At 39.8% G+C, this 20982-nt stretch overlaps 1 protein-coding gene across 14 annotated transcripts in view, besides 1 other annotated feature; it reads left to right on the top strand.

Moving 5' to 3' along the window:
- CRIM1 (cysteine rich transmembrane BMP regulator 1) overlaps positions 1–20982 on the top strand; it is a 195358-nt gene that overhangs the window by 105774 nt on the left and 68602 nt on the right. For 13 of the 14 annotated variants that reach the window (XR_007076383.1, XM_011532898.4, XM_011532899.4 and 10 more), the window contains 3 exons: positions 2983–3104; positions 15338–15520; positions 17946–18143. Coding sequence is in view for 13 of the 14 variants with exons in the window: in XM_011532898.4 (XP_011531200.1) it covers positions 2983–3104; positions 15338–15520; positions 17946–18143 (503 nt within the window). In the remaining variant the exon portion in view is untranslated. The remainder of the gene's footprint in view (positions 1–2982; positions 3105–15337; positions 15521–17945; positions 18144–20982) is intronic. The other variant, XM_047444645.1, reaches the window with a different exon arrangement.
- Positions 14875–15169: a silencer, noted in NCBI's record as "tiled region #14108; HepG2 Repressive non-DNase unmatched - State 15:Elon". NCBI's record gives its function as "represses a minimal TATA promoter and a strong SV40 promoter by Sharpr-MPRA in HepG2 cells {active_cell/tissue: HepG2}" and the evidence as "EXISTENCE:reporter gene assay evidence [ECO:0000049][PMID:27701403]".

Here is a 20982-nt window from a genome sequence, read left to right on the forward strand (position 1 = left end):
ACTAAGCTGTGTAACTCCTGTTCCCATCGGTGAAAGGGAAGAATACCTCCTGCAGTGTGTGTTAACCAGAGAATCTAGAATAATCTTACTGAAGAATTTTTTAAAACTACATGGGACTCATATCATTTGTAGATATAACAGACTTCCTGGGCAAATATGGGTCATGATGGGGTCCCCTTTTGTTACCTGACAGAGTGAATGTAAACATACCTGTTAAAAGATAACTCATGTGAGTTGTATTATGTTGAAAATAAGGAATTGCTATTTGACCATTTCGAACTGCAAAACTGGCAGTTTCAGTAAGGTTTTAACCTAATAGATAGCTACCCAATAGATATCTGACCTAAGCCCAGATTTTTACCTTTTGTGGTTCTTTCATCAGCTCTTTCTTGATTAAGATGCTAATTTCACGTTCAGGGGAAGCTGTGAAAAGTCAAAAGATGGCAACAGGTAGATCAGAAGGCTTTGCAGGGAAGGAAACAAGGAGACAGGAGCTGGGGTCACACCAGCTAGCAAAACCAGGATCTTTATTATGCAGTCAGTTTAGTTGTAAAGATTCAGCATAAAACATTTTCCTTTCCTAGGTGGGTTAATAGGTGGTTGGGTGCAACTTCAGCTCTTCTGTAGCCTGCTGGAGACAACTTGTAAGGGACTTTAAAAAAAAAATAGGAATATTTAAATGTTAGGAAGACGTAATGCATATAATGTTTACTCTTTGGGTGACAGGTACACTAAAAGCTCACACTTCACCTCTATGCAATATATGTCTATAAGAAACTTGCACTTGTACTCCCTAAATGTATTTTTTAAATTGTAAATTTTTTAAACAAATGTTGGGAAAATAGGTCAAACATAAAAGGGGAAAAAAGACTTCATGGCAGACTTAGTCATGGTGTTCAGTGTGGTGTGACTCCTAACAGCATAGCAGAGAACCCAGCACGTAAGTGCACGTGTTCAGTAAAGGTTGTTCAAGTGTTGAAGGACAACATCTGAAGAGGTATTTTTTGGTTGACTGTACACTCTCAGGTGTTTAGAGTAGAATGATTCCCTGGAGCACGTGTGTAGGCAAGAATGTGGAATCATAGAAGATTTGTAAGAGAAGGTTAATCAGCTATTCTTGCGGGATGCTTTCATTGTAATCACATCTACACATTGGGGCCAGGGTGTGGCCTGTCAGTATTCTAGCCCCATTTATCTATAAACTCCAGAGAGTTTTAAGTTGTACAGAGTGCCAAGTACAATAAATGTAAACAATATAATGTTACTGTTATATCACAGCAGTATGATTATGTGCTTACCACTGCAATGGCTAGGGATATAAGCGTGACAAAGTATGGGATGACCTTATCAGGCACTAAAAGCCCAGCTCACATTTACTCAGCGCTAGAAAATGATTGTCCTGCAGGAATATAGCGTATGAATTGAGAGCTCCAAGCTCTACTCACACAAAACAGGCAAACCTTTACTTGAAACCACTGGTAGAAATACAATTGCAGCAAAACCTGAATGACCTAACACCCTCTTCTCCCAGGAATCCAATAGAACTGCCACCCCACATGGAAGAATCCTCAAGGAGCCTACCTTGGGGTGATAGTGGGGTGTTTAAAGCCACCTTTCCAGTGGCTTTAATAGTCCTTGATGCAAATCATAACCTAAAGTAATTTCTTTTCTAGTTCCATGGTTAACTATAAATGTAATTAAATCTCTGGGCCTCATTATTGAAGTACTTGTGGACTATAAGCATATTTTAATTTATTAAAGATCCAAAGAACAATAAGTGAACAAACCAATTACTTAAATAAGAAGGGGGGACAAAAGCACAATTAATGAATGTATTGATAGTTTTCCCTGCTGGGAACATTACCTTTCCTGATCTTGACCTCTACCGTATGTAAATACCCACATACTTCCTGCCAGGATGTCTTTTTTTAGGATGTCTTCCTTTTACTCCTGTCAACCTGGGAACTCCCGCCGTCATCTTCTCCACCCTCTGACCCATACATCTCTCCCCAGGGGAGTCCCAGGGCAGAAATCTAGCGGCTCTTTCCTCATCTTACATTCACATGCTGACACCCAGCTGCCCTAAGTTTCCTGTGTCCTGCCTCTCTTTCATTGTAGCAGATGCAACATTTTGTCTCCTCTTATTTCACCTGCCCGTATTTGCCAGGCTTCTGCGTTTAGCAATTTTTGCAGCAGCATCGAAGTTAGGGGTGAGAGCCAGCACAGCCAGCTTGCAGCTCATGGAACACCCCCATTCATGCGTGCAGAGAGATCGATGCTCAGGTGGGAGCTTAAGATCCAAAAAATTAAGACTTTCAGCTTCCAAGATAGCTGTCATAAAGTTCACTTACTACAGCTTAGGCCCTCTCTTTATAAAGAGCTCCTCAGTCTTCAGTCCGTTTCTTTTATTGTGCACAGTCATAAATTAAATATTGCTCAAGATGAGAGTGGACTTAAGACAATCACACTGACAAGAAAATACTAAAAAGCTAATAACTTAATCATTGAACCAGGAGTCAGAAAATCTCTGAAAAACCCTAAACATCAGTTGCAGCAAAGGAGCAACATGAGGCCATTTAGCACGGGAACACTCACTCTGTATTAGCCTGTGCAAGCATCGATTCACAGAAGAGCATAACAGATACATATGAAGATGTCCCTGAGTCAGCCAGAAAATGTTTGTTACGCTCAATACCAGTCTGGTTAAGTAAGAAATGAGGTAATGCATTTTAGAAATATTTCTGTCAAAATGGTTAAAGTTAAAAATTGGGGTGTACATAAAGGAGACAAGCCTTAGTTATTTGAAAGCAAATTATGGTAGAACCCCTCCTGCCTTCCCATTTCCCAGTGACACCAGATAAAGGAGGCAGTGTCGTATAGACCAGGTACTTTGCCACAGCCACTGCCACTTTGTTTGTGGTCTCCCGACTTCTATGTTGTTGTTTATTCATGGGGTTTTCCTTCCCTTTTCTTTGGTTTCAGATGCGAGTGTCTCTCTGGCTTATGTGGTTTCCCCGTGTGTGAGGTGGGATCCACTCCCCGCATAGTCTCTCGTGGCGATGGGACACCTGGAAAGTGCTGTGATGTCTTTGAATGTGTTAATGGTACGTGGGGTTTCTCTTGTTCTCAGAGAGTGTACATTTGTGCAGAGGAGGAGGAGGGAGGGTTCAACTTAGCTGCTTCTGCCTTTTACAAAGCAGGGATTACCTTCAGGGGCTTGCTGAAGGGCACTCAAAAAGGTTTGCTTAAGATCCACAGTGCAGTAAAGAAAGTTAGGTTAGGAACTATCATTCCACCCATCAGAAGGAGGATTCTGGAAATGTAATAGCAGATTGCATGTAGCTGTCATACTCAGCTGTGTTACAGAATTTCCAAAACTTAGGGATTTCAGGAAAAGGATCCTGGAGCCTGTGAGAGTTTTCCTGCTGTCACTCAGTAACTGGTCCCATGGCTGTCGGGAGGTGACCTGGCTAAAACTGCATTGGGCCTGCCACACTTGGGAACAAGAAAAACATGGCTCATCTTGTTTAGCATTTTCCTACTTAGAACATCTTTGCACCTGATCTTAGCCAAAAGGCTGAGAGGCGGTGGGGAAGACATCTTTAATCAGTGGTTGGTCACTGATAGCGGCCTGCTGTAGGCTTGACCCACGTGGCCCTGAAAAAGGATTCTTGGGTCACGAGATTCCTTCTGACAGAATCTGCCTCTCCCTTTCACTTTATATGGGAGGATTTGGTGTTTGGTGGCTTGATGTTGATTGAGTTTAGGTGCTAGAAGGAAGGGGAACCTGCAACATGCTTCTCTACCAGAATATTCATTAACAAAAAATAAAATAAACAAGTTACATGTCAATAACCATTCAGAGCATTATTTAGTCAATACTTGTATACACAGGAAGATGGAGATGGATTTGGACAAATACAACAAAATTACACATAGAAATATTCATATCAAATACTTCCTGTAGGAATTCAGATGTCATAAGGTCTCCTGCCCTCCCAAGGCAAGAAAGGTTATGTTGCAGTTGAGTCCTATTTGGTTGCATCCTGTGATTTTTAGGCCCGTGGCCAAGTTGTTTTTTATTGTTTATTTTTGCTTTGAAGAAACACTTGCAGTATGGCTTTATGGTTAAGAAAGAACACAGACTAGAATTAATAACCTCAGTTTGAAAATTGGGTCCTCCACTCACTAGCTGAGTTAACTTTGAGGAAGCTTCTTGGTTTCCCTGGGCCTCAGTTTCTACATCTCTAAAATGGACTGAATAACAGTAAATTAAACAAGGTATTATAGGTGAACTACCTTGAATTTTGCCTCAGATGTAAATAATCTTTAGTATTCTTTTTTTTTTTTTTGAGACAGAGTCTCGCCCTGTCGCCCAGGCTGGAGTGCAGTGGCGCAATCTCGGCTCACTGCAAGCTCTGCCTCCCAGGTTCACGCCATTCTCCTACCTCAGCCTCCCAAGTAGCTGGGACTACAGGCGCCCGCCACCACACGCGGCTAATTTTTTTGTATTTTTAGTAGAGACAGGGTTTCACTGTGTTAACCAGGATGGTCTTGATCTCCTGCCCTCGTGATCCACCCGCCTCGGCCTCCCAAGGTACTGGGATTACACGTGTGAGCCACTGCTTCCGGCCAATAATCTTCTGTGTGCACACTTTCTATTCACATCCAGAGGCACAGTTCTGGACATTGGGGATGGGGGATAGAGATGGTAAGGTTGAACTTCCTGACTTACAGACCTTATAAATACAAGCATACAGGAAAGGGGAACAGAAAAAGTTCTGTGCACTTAAATCACCTCTCGGTGCTTCTCCCCACTCTGGTCATTATTTAGCCAGTAATCACATCCATTAAACACAAGCAAATGGCCAAGCAGACCTTTTTTCTGGAGGTGCTACAGTTTGATTTATGATAGGTGAGATTCTGTGAATACTTGTACCACTGGAGACAGAAATAGTCACTGCTTCCCTGGGTTCCCAGCATCTCAGATATGCTTCATCCAGTGCTCATCACTTGGAAAAGACTTAACGCTCATGCCTGTCTCTCACTCCAAAATGTGAACTGCTGGAGGACAGGAGTCTGTCACATTCATCCTTGTGTCTGTAGTTGTTAGCCTATTATCTGCCTCACAGAGGACACCCAGATTTTGTTGCATGAGCCAGTGAATGATCTAATTCGTATCATCTTAGTTCCCTCTAGAGGTGTCTGTTAAATGTCAGCCCATAAATGGGTTACTTTGTAGGAATCCTCCATCTATTTACTGCCCTACACTTTAATCTTAAGTCATTTGTCCCCTGAAAATATCATCTCTAGTAGAAAGATTTGCTGGTGTTTCCTATGGGTGAGGAACCGGAGTGCCCTTCTTCTCTCCTTGCTTCTTGGTTCTAGATACCCATGGGTCATTCCTTTCTTATCAGAACATAGACTTTATGTCTTGCTCCAGTCTGATGTGTCTCAAACTACTAATAGCCGTACCTCCACCTTAGCAACCTTGGGATCAGTCTGCAGGGCCTGTCCTCATTTATTGCCACTTATTATAGAGCCCTGACTTCTGGAATAGGATTTGCCATCTGTCCTGAGAAGATGTTGAGTGGACAAAACACAGTCACTACATCTCTGGTCGTTGCTTCTTTCTTGCCACCATAAACTTGTTGAGTGATCTTTGCTTTCTTCCTAATCCTGTGGAACTGTGTCTATTGATATATCAGTCATTCACCTGTAGAGGAGACTAGGAACTAATACTGTGAAGATTCATAATCCTACAGAATATTGTTAAGAACATTGTCTCAAAGCCTGCATTTTTCTTCTTTTGATATATACATTCATACTCATACACACACATATATATTGATAGATGAATGTGTCTGTGTATGTATATATAAATATACTTACCACCTAGTGTCCTGGAAAAATCTGTTGTTGTAAGGTCACCATTAGAAGATACTACATATCAAAGATTCATTATCATCACTTAGAAAAGCAGAGGTCTATTTTATATGTATAAAACCACTCGCTTATACACAGAGGATCTGAGGAAACTTTACAGTGAGAACAGATTCTATAAGATAGTGATAAAATATTTATGAGAAAGGAGACTCACAGCCATAGAATTGTAAGTAAAAGTTGAAAGTGAAAAATCAAACAGAAAGCACCCACGGGTATACAGTCCATCAGTGCCTATGCAGTTGTGGGAGTTAAATGTTAAATTAGGCCCCCAGTTTTCTGGCCATCAAAGTGAAAAAGGAGATAGGGTCAAATACGCTGTTCTTATTTTCAAAGAGGAAAAAACCTGCTGGATGGGACAACTGTCTCTCTAATAGAGATTTTTCATATGGAAAGGAATGGATTTCATCCCACTGAATGATGAAGTTGATCATGTGCTTAATTGCGTTAACACCACAAATGCAGAAACTGGTTTCCTGGGATTGTTCTCAATAAAAAGCAAAGGCAAAATATTAAAATACAACTCAGTTCCAAAAGGTCAGATTGACACAGCTAGACCGTAGGTGCTTGGAACATTGTTTCTCAATTTTGCAAACTGCCCAACCATGGTGAGGTAGATCCAAAGACCCCAGTTCAGAAGACTGTGGGTAGAATGTTAACATGACTGACCCCACATGCAGAAATGGATTATGCACTGCCGCACTCACTTCCTATGCTGCCATCCATGTGATCCATATGCTTATGTTTTTTTCTTTTTAAAATCAACTTTAAAGTGAAAACATACAATTTTAAAATACACAGAACTCGAAAACTCGTGAGTTTTGAAAACACTAGCCTGATGAGTAGATGCAGAGAGAGCATCCTCCATAAATATTACTTTGTTTTTGTAGTTTGATTTTATTTTGTTGTGGCGGAGGGATGGGAGAGTTGCAGACCAGTTCATGACAGTTTGTAACTGCATTCTCTGACAAGCGCCGAAAGGAGAACTTATGAGGCTTTGGCTGAACAAGATCCTTGTTATTTAGAAACCAAAGGAACAGGTGGTATGATTATGTTTCTTTTATGTGAACTTAGAAGTCATCAAAATCATCACCTAGAAATATGACCTCCAAAGCAGTGTTGTAACAGCCCTCCACCTTCGTCAAGAACCCACTGTATGTCTGCTCCTGCCCACAAACAAATGTCCCATCAGCCGTCAGCTGGAGCTGGACAATGGCCTCTACTGTTAGATGGGTGGATGCTCTCCACTTAACACAGTACCCCCTGCTGTCTTACACATGGCCCACCTCTCGTTCCTGGAGGCATTTGGGTTTGAAATCCTAGGTGTAGAGTGTGCAAGTGATTATTTGGTTTCTTAGATACGAGCATTTGTCCAACGTATATACACAAACATCTAGATAAAATGGAATATCTTGGTTGGAAAGTCGTAGCCAAAAGCTGACTCTGTCTGTATGACCTACTTATAAAACGTTCCCCAAGTGAGTAAATGAATTAGTCTATAGTATTGTTATTGGATAGAAGCCAGTTGAAACTACCAGAAATATTTTTAGCCTTACGGTATTTAATACTGAACCATTTGTTCTGACAGCATAGTTAGCAGGGCCAGATATATATTGAGGCTAGCCCCCATTCACAGCTCTAAACAAGTCATCAGCACAAAAGAGGAAGAGTACCCTCTTCCCAGTGGTGCCAAGAGTGGTGGGTGGATGGGGTGGGGATGGGAGCATTACTTGTGTATGGCACAACTAGCCAAAAGCAACTTCAGGGGGTTATGAAGTAAGTTCAGAGAAAGGGGATCTGAATACAACTTAGCGTGTGTTTTTAGCCTGTTTTGTGCCATTTGAAATACTTCTGTTTTGGAGCACTGTCCCTGTAGCACTCTGCTTCTCACAGCAGTATTAAAATGCAGCACTAACAGTGAGGAGCCTGGATGAAGGTCATGTTGCCCACCCAGTAATTAGTTCCTGTTTTATTCAGGCATATACGAAAGGCTAATAAAAACTGGAAGTAATCTTATGTTGGCCCTGACAGAATTTTCTCTAAGACAGTAACATGTGAAATCACCATTTAAAGGGGAGCCGTACCCAGCATCAGCTTGCTCCTCATGTAAAATTTTGGCCTAGAAAATTCAGACCTGCAGGCTGTTAATTTTCAAAAAAAAACACTAGTACAGAAAACATTAAGAACCCACTGTCTATATAGCAATTATGCTCATAATGTTTCTAAGGACGTAATGTCTTCTACTGATAGAATAATGGAGATATTCTGGCACTTTGAGAGCAATACTCCACTCAGTATGTGTTTATTGAGCACCCCTCGTGTTCCTGGGGCCTTGTTAAGCTAATTTTGTTAAAGAGTGATACACATTGTTGTAATCCTTTCTAAGGGTTGTTCTCTTCCCCTTTTCCTGAAATAGGATATGCTTGGTGTCCTCCAGCACACACACACACTTCCCCTCTTCTCCCTGTGGAATAAGCCAATTGAAACTAGCAAACATATTTTTAGTCTTATAGTATTTAATACCGAGCCATTAATTATGAGAGTATAGTTAGCAAGACCAGATATTTATTGAGGCTAGTCCACATTCACAACTTTAAGAACATGTCATCAGTATAATTAATAAAGGGAAAACTTAAGGATTTAAAAACACACAGAACTCAAGAACTCCTGAGTTTTGAAAACACTAGCCTGAATGAACAGATGGAGAGAACATCCTCCATGAATAGTCCTTCTCTTTTCACTTTGGTTTTAATTTGTTTTGGTGGAGGGATGGGACAAGCTGCATGTCGAAGCTGCAGAGAGTTATCTAGAAGATTTAGCTATGAAAAGTGATGAAGGTGGCTACACTAAACAACAGATATTCAGTGTAGAGGAAGCAGCCTTCTATGGAAAGAAGATGCCACCTGGGACTTTCATAACAAGAGAGAAGCAGTCAATGCCTGGCTTCAAAGAATAGGCTGATTCTTATTAGGGGCTAATGCAGCTGATAACTTTAAGCTAAACCCCACGGCTGTTAAGAATTATGCTAAATCTACTCTGCCTGTGCTTTATAAATGGAACAACAAAGCCTGGATGACAGCATGGTTTATTGATTATTTTAAGCCCACCATTGAGACCTACTACTCAGAAAAAGAGATTTCTTCCAAAATATTACTGCTCATTGACAATGCACCTGGTCTCCCAAGAGCTCTGATGGAGGTGTACAAGATTAGTGTTGTTTTCGTGCCTAACACAACATCCATTCTGCAGCCCATGGACCAAGGAGTCATTTCAACTTTCAAGTCTTGTTAATTAAGAAAAACATTTCATAAGATTAGCTGCTGTAGATAGTCATTCCTCTGATGGATCAGAACTAAATCAATTGAAAACCTTCTGCAAAGGATTCACTCACCATTCTAGATGCCATTAAGAACACAGGTGATTCAGGGGAAGGTGTCAGAATATTAACATGGAGTTTGGAAGAAGTTGATTCCAACCCTCATGAATGACTTTGAGGAGCTGAAGACCTCAGTGGAAGAAGTAACTGCAGATGTAGTAGAAGGAGCAAGAGAACTAGAATTAAATGTGGAACCTGCAGAATGTGACTGAATTGCTGCAATCTCATGATAAAACTGGAAAGGATGAGGAGTTTCTTCTTATCGATGAGCAAAGAAAGTAGTTTCTTGAGATAGAATCTACTCCTGGTGAGGATGCTGTGACAACATCTTCACCAGATAAAACGACAACCAGGGATTTAGACTATTACATAAATTTAGTTGATAAAGCAACAGCAGGGTTTTAGAGGATTGACTCCAGTTTTGAAACAAGTTCTACTGTAAGTAAAATGCTATCAAACAGCATCACATGCTACAAAGAAATCTTTCATGAAAGGAAGAGTTAGTCAATGTGGCAAACTTCATTATTGTGTTATTTAAAGAAATTGCCACAGCCACCCCAACCTTCAGCAACCACCATCCTTATCAGTCAGCAGCCATCAGCATCAAGGCAATACCCTCCACCAGCAGAAAGATTACTATTTACTGAAGGCTCAGATGATCGTTAGCAGTTTTTAGCAATAAAGTATTTTAAATTAAGGAATGTATATTGTTTTTTAGACATAATGCTATTGTATACTTAATAGACTATAGCAGGGGTGTCCAATCTTTTGGCTTCCCTGGGCCACATTGGAAGAAGAAGATTGTCTTGGGCCACATGTAAAATACACTAACACTAATGATAGCTGATTAGCTTAAACACACACACACACACACACACACACACACACACCATCTTACAATGTTTTAAGAAAGTTTGCATTCAAAGCCATCCTAGGCCTCATGTGGCCCGCAGGCTGCAGGTTAGACAAGTATGGACTACAGTACAGTGTAAACATAACTTTTAAATGCACTGGGAAGCCAAAAAGTTTGTGTGACTTGCTTGAGCTGGTCTGGAACTGAACCCACAATATCTTTGAGGTGTATCTATCACCATCCACCAATCAGTGTAGTTTGGTAGGCAGTAGCATGTACTAATAGTCTATATTACAAAATTCTCTTTTAGGAGTTCTGAAGTATATTCAAGAAGGAAGGGAAGATCCCAGAACTTAGAAACTTAAAGTTTAATTTTGCAGACGCAAAACACATACAAAAAATCACTAAAAAGGCACTTCTGTGCTTCATATTGAGAAGTACAAATTACACAGTAAATTATTTCTTCATAACACTTTTCCACATCCACTTAAATCATCCTTTTGTGGAGATTGTGGCAATCTCCACACTGTTCTGAGATTCACATCTACCCCTGATAGGTGAAGAAGTAATTGGTCATTGCTCCTCAAAAACCACAGGTAGCCTTTTTATCATATACTTTTCTTAAGAGCCTCTATAAATCTCTTTGAACATCAAACAGATTTCATTGTGTTGTGTGACTTTTTTCACCCTTAAAGATTGATTGTGTTTCCAGGCTGTGTTTTTAGGATTCTCCATCTTTCTCACTTCCACTCCCTTGATCCTTGTGCTTTTGCTAGTGAAACCTAAGTGCCACAGTTCTCTCGTCAGTCCCATCCCCTCCTGCTTAAGCTTCTGCACACCCTACCATAAAAACAAGTCCACTTGAAGCAGCTTTATTCATAACCAGAACCTGCCCTCCACACTTCCTCAGATCATGCACCAGGGTTGTGGCTTCACCCAGATGGTAGCTGTGGTTGATCAACTCAACCAAATAATTAGTATTGATTGGTTTATTTTTTTTAGTTTCCATGGATGTTCATTTTGTTAGAGTACAGTATTTTGCCTCGCTCTACAGCCTGCAAATTTAATGTATAAAAGTACTCCGTTTTCTATACTTTTTGGAACTTATAGTGTAGCTGCACAATTCCTTTCAATCCCAACTCAGATTAGTTTGTTAGCTAAAAGTATATAGAAGAATTCTGAGCCATGGTAAGATGATTCTTTTTTAACATTAATTTTCTGAAAAAATGTTGTATCCATGTAGCACTAAGGAAGGAGTTTAAACATTCACATGTAGTACGTGTGCACACATAAAATCACTGCCTCATTCATGTGACTTTAAGCAAATCACGTCATCTCTTTAAGTTTCATCTTCATTATCGAAAAAACTGGTACTAATAATACTCGTTCTGTCTTCTTAGCGGGGTTGTTATAAAATAAATATAAAGTAATTGTCCTTGAGTACAATGCAAATGCAAATATCCTCCAAATGCGGTGAAAGTATTTTAGACATGCAAGGGGACATATTAAATGATTTGGGGATGGACAGAAGAGCCCTTGAAAGATGGGGATATCATCATCCAGCTTTCACCGGCAGATTGAGCAGGGCTCATCACCTCAGGAGAACTTTCTTCAGCTTGGGAGTACTTTTTTTAAAAATAGCTTTAGGAGACACCATGCAATTTACCAACTTAAGTTGTGCAATTCTGTTGTTTTCAGTGTATGCTCAGAGTTCTGCAATCATCAACACAATCAGTTTCAGAACATTTTCATCAAGCCATCAGAAAACTCCTGAACTGATTGCAGTCACTGCCCATTTTCCCCCTAAGCTCTCAGATCTAGGCAACCACTAATCTACTTTCTATCTCTATGGACGTGCCTATGATGGGTGTTTCATATAAGTAGAGTTATATAATATTAATACCTTGTCTTTTGTGACTGGCTTCTTTCACTTAGCATAATATTTTCAAGTGTCATTCATGTTATATTGCATATCAGAACTTCATTTCTTTTTATGGCCACGTAATATTTTATTGTATAGATATACTACTTTTTGTTTATATATCAGTTAATGGATATTTAGGTTCGTTCTTTCTTGGCTCTTGGGCTGCTAGGAACATTTGTTTATAGTGCTTTTTTGTGGGTATATATTTTCATTTCTCTTGGGTATATACCTAGGAGTAGAGTTGCTTGATGATATGATAACTCAAATTAAGGAACTCACAAACTGTTTTCCAAAGCAGCTGTGCTTTTACATCCTCACTAAAAATCTATGAGAATTCCAGTTTCTCCACATCCTCATCAGTGCTCGTTACTATTTTTTAATTATATCCATCATAGTGGGTGTGAAATGGTGTTCATTGCAGCTTAGATTTGAATTCCCCGAGTGACTAATGATTCGAGCATCTTTTCATGTGTTTATTGTCCATTTCTGTCTTATTTGAAGAAGTGTCTGTTCAAAGGTTTGCCCGTTTTGATTAGATTATTTTTATCGTTTAATTATGGGAGTTCTCGGTACCAGTTTTTTTAAATCAGATATATGATTGCAAATACTTTCTCCCAATCTGTAGGGTTGTCTTTTTACCTTTTTGATGGTGTCCTTTTAAGTCCCAAAATTGATGAAGTCCAGTTTATCTGTTTTGTTCCTTTGTTGCTTATGCTTTGAATGTCACATCTAAGAAACCACTCCCTAATCAAAGGCCACAAAGATTAACTCTTATGCTTCCTTCTAAGAGCACTGTAGGTGTAGCTGTTGTATTTAGATCATAACTCTATGATTCATTTTGAGTTAATTTTTGTATATGGTGTGAGGCATAGGGTTTTCTTCTTTATTCTTTTGCATGTAGATAATGCAAAAGACTTTCAACCTCAGGCCTGGCATGGTGGCTCACACCTGTCATCCTAGCACTTTGGGAGGCCAAGGTGGTTGGATCACTTGAGGTCAGAGGAGTTCAAGACCAGCCTGGCCAACATGGTCTTTACTAAAAATACAAAAATTAGCTGGGCATGGTGTCATGCACCTGTAGTCCCAGATACTTGGGAGGCTGAGGCAGGAGAATCACTTGAACCCAGGAGGTAAAGGTTGCAGTGAGCTCAGATGACGCCACTCCACTCCAGCCTGGGTGACAGAGTGAGACTCTATATCAAAAAAAAAAAAAAAAAAAGACTTTGAACCCCACTGAGTCTTGGCCATCTTGTCAAAATACCTGTAAATGTGATAGTTTATTCCTGAACTCTCAATTCCATTGAACTATATATCTATCCCTGTGGCAGTACCACATAGTCTTGATTACTATAGCATTGTATTATGTTTTGAAATTAGGAAGTAGGAGTTCTCTAACTTTGTTCTCCCTTTTAAGATTGTTTTGGCAATTCTGGGTCCCTTGCATTTTCATATGAATTTTATGATCAGCTTATCAATTTCTACAAAAGAGCCAGCTAGGAGTTTGATAGAGATTGCATTGAACATGTAGATCAATTTGGGGAATATTTCCATTTAAACAATGTTGTCTTTCAATCCATGAACACGGGATGTCCCGTTTACTTAGGCCTTTTTAGTTTTTTGAAAATGTTTTGTTATTTTCAAAATACAAGTTTGTACTTATGTTATTACATTTATTCCTAAGTATTGTATACTTTTTGATGCTATTGTGATTGGAATTGTTTTCTTCATTTTCTGATTGTTCATTGCTAGGGTATACAAACACAATTTGGGGAGTTGCAATTGTACTCTGCAACCTTGTTGAACTTGTTTATACATTCTGATAGTTTTTTAGTGGATCCCTTAAAACTGTTTACATACAAGATCATGTCATCTGCAATTAGAGATAGTTTTACTTCTTCCTTTCCAATCTGGATGCTTTTAATTTATTTATTTTTCCTAATTGCTCTGGCTAGAATTTTCATTACTATGTCGAATTGAAGTGGTGAGAACACACCTCATTGTCTTGTTCCTGATCTTAGGGGGAAAGCACTTGGACTTTTGCCATTAAGTATGAGGTTAGCTGTAGGACTTTTGAGGATGCCATTTATCAAGTTGAGGAAGTTCCGTTCTATTCCTAGTTGGTTGAGCATTTTTATCATGAAAGAATATTAGATTCTGTCAGATGCCAAAAACTGTGTCTATCGAATGATCATGTTGCTTTTTTTCCTTATTGTGTGACATATCGTATTAACATTAATATTTTGGATGTTAAACCAACCTTGCATTCTTGGAATAAGTCTCACTTGGTCATGGTGTATAATTTTGTTTATATGTTGCTGGATGTGGTCTGCTAGTAATTTTTTTTAAGATTTTTGTGTCTACATTTATAATATACTGATCTGTAGTTGTGTTTTCTTGTCTTGGTGGGAGTTATTTTAAATCAACTAAAATTAAAGAATGAATGTAGGGAGAGTGTTTCAAGGCAGAGAAAAATTTAAAAATCATTGATATCGTGATGAGACTTCTAAATATGGGACTATGAGTCCTCAGCAGAACATAACCCTGAAGCACAATGGAAGGAGCACAAGGTTTCAGTTGAAGAGCTACTGTTTTGGCTTCTGTCGTTTGCTGTGTGACTTTGAGTAAACTACCTAGGATTTCCTCACTTTTAAACTCAGGATAATAATACCTATGTCAGACCTTCATTATAGGGATTAAGTGAGGTGATACATATAGAGAGTATTTTGTTAAAGGCCAAACACTATTAAAATTATACGTGTTTATACCATGTACAGAGAAAAAGAATTTAAGAGAGAGCACTGGGGGAACAGAACATCACCACTTCAAAAAAGACCATAATAAAATTTTTGAAGCAGAACAAAACCTAATGTGGAGGCAGGATCATTCATTTGAGGTAGACAATGATTTAACCAAACAAATAGAATCACTTTAAAGCACATACCAGATATGTGAGTGTCATGGTCATAAAGTTTAGCTTTGTCTGGGATGGAAGGAAGTCAGTGTAGATTTTCCTAGGGGGAATTTCTGTTCCTTGGTGTAAACTGGATAACAGTGTGTTTTATTTTATTTTGTTTTGCTTCACTTTATTGTTTTCTGTTACATGAACTTACATTGAGTTGAGTAAATTTCCATCAACTTATAACCTCCTATTAGAAATTTTCTAGAGGCTGTTTGAAAAACATCAAAGGACACAACTAAAAAATGACTACAAATATGCCTTGTTTGTTTTAACTCTTTTCAGATACAAAGCCAGCCTGCGTATTTAACAATGTGGAATATTATGATGGAGACATGTTTCGAATGGACAACTGTCGGTTCTGTCGATGCCAAGGGGGCGTTGCCATCTGCTTCACCGCCCAGTGTGGTGAGATAAACTGCGAGAGGTACTACGTGCCCGAAGGAGAGTGCTGCCCAGTGTGTGAAGGTAAGAAAAGGTGCTAATTACAGATTAACAGGAGCATACATGGTATAGAGTTCTAAAATCAAAATCGTCCTAATTCAGTCTCATCCAAAAGTAAAGGAATATTGAAGTTCCTTTTTTAGCCTTTTTTAAGACACCATGGTCTGTCTTTTAGCATGTTAAAGCCAGGTAGAGTGTGTGGAAACACTTCCCTAAGGGAAGCTATGCCTGGGTGTAGACAATGGGTCACCTCTTTCCACAGGCAACGTGAGATGTCCCAGAGTTGTTTTCCGTTCCTCCCCTGCAGTTCTAGCAATTCCTCAGCAAGTCCTAGGGCAAAGCTTTATCTTCACCCTGGCATTAGAGCTCACCACCTCCTCACCTCAGATTGCTCAGTTAGGATAATGTGGGCCTCACCCTGACAGTCTCAGCCTGCCGGCCCAGAGAGGAACTAACTCTGCCACTGTCGTAATACCCAGGACCCTCCAGGGAGATCAGGGACCTGCTACTGCTTCTCTGAAAATATGTGGTGGTTCACATGGGGTCGTGGTATCAGGTCACCACCTGGTGACACCAACTCAAGGCCCAGCCAGGTGTCAGGTGTGACTCTCAGGAATCTGCTTTGTCTGGATTCCCCTTTTCTCTCCAAGAAGTAATATGTTCATGTTCCTTCAACAGGCTGCATCTTCCCATCACTGATGTTCATAAACAATAAGCATTTCAAAACAGTTGCTCTGAATATCACTCCCTGCAACCCACACATTTTACAGATTAGGATGTTGAAGTTCAGAAGAGAAAAGTCACTTGCCTGTAAAGTCACTTTACACTGCAGCCAGTAACAATAACCCCGTGCCTGACTGTGTCTATAGTGTTCTTCTGACAACACAACACTGTTTCCCCAGAAAGGAAGGTCTTGTGAGCCTTCCTGTCCTAACCAGGCCCCAGATCTTCAATCTGAAGTCGCATGTGTTAATCTTATGCCTGATCTCTGCACACAAAGTGGGAGGGCACAGTGTCATGCCACTTTCCATACTTCCTCATTTTCATAAAATTTTCTCCTTTTGATATTTGAGCAATATTTACAACATAATATTGAAGATCTGAAAATGTTTAAAGTATAAAAATTGCATTCCTAACATAGTTCATAACAGTGAGTTCTTTTCCCTACTAGAGGTTATTTTACCCAACATAGGAGAAAAGTAGTTTATTTTTTAGGTGATGTTGACAATTAAAAAGAATTACTTCAAATTTTTAACCTTTCTAATTGTTTTGTTCCCTACCTGCCCCCAGTCTGCAATAGTTCTGAAACTGTGCAGCAGTTGATGCTGTAAAAATGTAGATACGAACCTCTGTGTAGTCATCATACTGAGTTGTCTGGGCATGGATCCAGTTATGTCTCACTTCCTGGAATTCAGATCCAGGCTCAACGTAGAAAAATATGTATTCTAATACTTTTTACACAGGAATTTAAAAAATCTTCTCTTGCTCAGGTCCATTGGCCGCCTCCCTCTCTGGCAGACTGCCTTCCTAACGCTGTGATGGCATTATTTTAAATGCTGACCTTCTAACTGACTTTATTATAATGTCCCACTATGTCCTTAGAATAATGATGACCAAACTCTATGAACTGTCTGGATTCCTCTCTCAGCACAGCAGTAGTTGTTTGTTGAAGCCAGTTTTTTATGTATTTCTGAGAAAGAAAATTGAGTAATTTATCTGGTTGCTCTCAATAGAGGGATAAGAGAGGGTTTCATATGCAGTATTTATATACTTGTCAGTAACCTCAGAAACTTTTTTTTTTTTACAGTAGCTTTGGCTACTTCTGTCTCCCACCTGGGGCTGCAGCTTAGCTTCCCAACTTATGGGAGAAAAAATGGCCTAAGTTCACAGCGCTCCTCCAAGGCACAGTGACCCATGGTATGTCTAGACTAGCCTTGTCATGAACAAGTCCACAGCAAGACCACTGTTGCCCACATGGTCGTGCAGGTACATGAGATAGAGTTTTAGAAGTAACAATATCACTCTGACTTAGGGCATTGTTGCTTCCGCTTTACAGTTAGGGAAGTTGAGGTTTGATAAACATTTATGTCTACAACTGCGAAGACATTGTCAGAGCCTAAAATGGAGTCATGTTTTCTAATTACCAACCCACAGCTCTTGCCACAAAGCTTTCCAACTTTACAGAGTGATAACACCTGCACATTGGTTTTTAGACTACAGATCCTCTTCTCTGGGACTGCTGTGTCAGGATGAGTAGACATAAATTCAGTGTGACAGCTTCTTTTGCATGCACCCCCAGAGACTCCTCATGCAACCCTGCGCTTCTGTTGATCACAGTGGGAATAGAACTGCTGATGACTAGAACCCAGGGAAAAAATGTCTCTGGGTACTGACAGAGATAAGATTTAGAAGATGCTCAGTCTAACTCTGAACTCATGTTCTCATTTAGATCCAGTGTATCCTTTTAATAATCCCGCTGGCTGCTATGCCAATGGCCTGATCCTTGCCCACGGAGACCGGTGGCGGGAAGACGACTGCACATTCTGCCAGTGCGTCAACGGTGAACGCCACTGCGTTGCGACCGTCTGCGGACAGACCTGCACAAACCCTGTGAAAGTGCCTGGGGAGTGTTGCCCTGTGTGCGAAGGTAAATCTTGCAGATGCTAATGAGTCCCTGGTGAATGTCTTCTGTTGGAGAAGCTTCTACCAGCGTACGTTCTTGTTTGTTTATTTCCTTGGGCATAATGTCTGCTTCACGCTGTTACCAGTTGCCAACAAATTTATCAAACAGCTCAAACTGATGATTTGAGGAAAGGTTGCACATGTGAAATGAGAATAGTGTGGTCATTATTTTGCCATTGCAAATATGCGCGTCTGAATACTTTACAGTATAAGAATATGTACATTTTAATTAAGTTCACTTTGAACCTAATTAACACCCAAAGGTCAGCCTAACAAAATGAAATTGAAAATGAGACCGATGAGTCAATCTTAGCACCTTTGACTTGTGATGCTTCCATATGCCCAAGCGTCCTGGCAACTAGAAGAAAAGACTGGAACCATGAAAGCCAATTTCCACTGCCTAGTGCCGTCACCGAGTATCTGTTCTACTTCTCATATACCAATGGCTGTGGCTTTGCAATTCCTCTAGTGCTGTTATTTATGTCGTGGTTACCTGCATTTGCTATCTCTCTTCTTGTTCAGTGGAGGGAAGCCTGAGGCATCCTGGACTAGTTTTTCTGTCCCGACTCCTATTCCAGCTCATTTCCTCCATCCTGGGAAGATTCTCTGCATACTTAACTCATGTCAGTCTTTAATCTTGTGTCCATGTGTGTTAGTGCAGACAAGGGCTTGAATATTTGTACAGACATTTCTAATAGAGGGTATCCAGCATTAAGAAGTACATTTGCATAGTAAAATGAACTAATGTGGATCAAAAATTAATCCATGTTGAAGATGGATCTTTCTAGAATTTCTAAAAACAGATATTGAAAAATGGACTTATCTTTCCAGAAAGTCAGTTAAGTAGACTAAGTCTTTTAAGTGCGAAGAAATCTTGTGCTTCCACCGAAATGTTAATAAACTCAGACTCCAGAGTTTGCCTGACTAGCTTCATCAGCCTCTGAGGGGCTAGACTTATTAAAGACCTTAAAAATCATATAAAAGTTTAAGCTTGAGGCCTCTCTTTCTGTTGACATCACCGATTCCCTTGTCATTACTGTACTCAGAGTGCAGCTGCCACACTCCAGAACTTTACAGCTTCCAGATGACCAGTTTTGTGGAAGTCACCCACCCCTGCATGTATATATACTCCTCCCATTCCCTAAAGGCAGCATTTCAGTGCTGAAAAAAAAAGAGCATGTAGAAATACATATGATGGTTGTATAGTCGGCCTTACAGGAAAGGGTGCCTTACTGAAGCAGATGAAGATAAGAATGTCAGTCCCTAAGAATTAGGGACAATCTGTTGCCAACTTGAAATATTTAATTACGAATATTTGGGACACACGGTAAGGAATATGAAAAGCATAAATTCATAATCCAGTAAACATTAGCCTTTTAACCTCATGGGTCTTATGTCATAAATTCAAAATAAAACTTTAAAAACTTGTTGAATAAAAGAGCCTTTCCTCTGGAAGTAAATGAAAGGAAGGCTGATCCTTTTGCACCCACCTTTTGCATTTATCAGCATATCCATCATGAAGAGTGGAGAAGGAAGGCAGTTGGTGAACAGGTAGATATATATATAACTCATTTATTACCATTTTCTTAGCACACATTGATGTTTGGGTAAGGAGTGAAACTTAGTGTGGTCACTTAGAATTTGGTCTCTGCAACATCTGCATAGAGTTGTAATCTAATCATCTACTGTTTGAGAAAAGAGTTACAGTTTTGGTGAGCCATTAATTTGAAAAAATTAAGAACCTCCTGGAATTCAGATACAGCATTGGACACAAAGATAAGTAAGAGATAACCTTTAACTTTGAAGAGCCTATTTAGGCTGAGTTTTGAATTAAACCAGAAGAAAGGGAATGTCCCCGTTGAGGTATGGTGGGGTAAGTGCATCACATTTGTACCCAATTTCATTTAACCTTCAGAGCAACACTGCTGAAGCCTTTATTATCCCATTTTGGAGATGAAGACATTCAGGTTTAAGGCGATTTAGATCATTTCCCCCAAGGGTATAGTTGCCATTGTGTGGCTGAGTGAAGATCAACGGAAGTTTGTCAGATTCGGCTCCATTTGTGCTTGCTTCCCCTGCCCCACACAGCATCCCAGCCTAACTCATGCCCTGCTTCTAGTGTCCTCACCCATCTCTACTCACCTCTGGCTTTTGGCTCTGTTGAGGAGTGAGGGCAGTCAGCGGAGGCAAGGGAGGAAATCATTTTGCAGTTTGAAAACTACTCCAGGTATTTTGAATGTGATCGTCCACCTACTGTCTCCTCGCAGTTTGAAGACCTCAGGGGAAAGATGCCTTTGAGATGCATCCCTGAGTTCACTTCTAGAGCCTCAGGTCTGGGCAGCCCCCTCCACCTCAACAGAGCTCAGCATCCTTGTCATTTCAGCGGTAAAGTTCTGCTGGCCTTTTTTCCTCTCTGTCTCTTTCATGCTCTGGCTCTGATCTCTCATCAAACGTTTCAGAAGATTCCATTTTCTGGTTCTCAGAAATAATTTATCTTGCTTTTCTTGTTTTTGTTTTTAACTTAGTTGAGTAGTGAGTTTCATATGAATGTATTTACTCTCCAATAATGCTTTCATTTTAAGATGTATTAATAATAAGAACACAGATTATTTTAGTATAGGATTAAAAAACAGTGCACAGCTTAAGATAATGATACTAAAGGGTTATTTATGGCTACTAATAATAAACTTACAAAATAACACAAGGTGAATGGATCTTACTGCTTAGTTTATAGGGTCCAAGAAAGTCTCTGGGATCATTTGAAGACATTTTTTCTCAGCAGTCATTCAATATCATACTTAAAT

The sequence above is a fragment of the Homo sapiens genome, chromosome 2, assembly GCF_000001405.40.
Source record: "Homo sapiens chromosome 2, GRCh38.p14 Primary Assembly".
Lineage (NCBI taxonomy): Eukaryota > Metazoa > Chordata > Mammalia > Primates > Hominidae > Homo > Homo sapiens.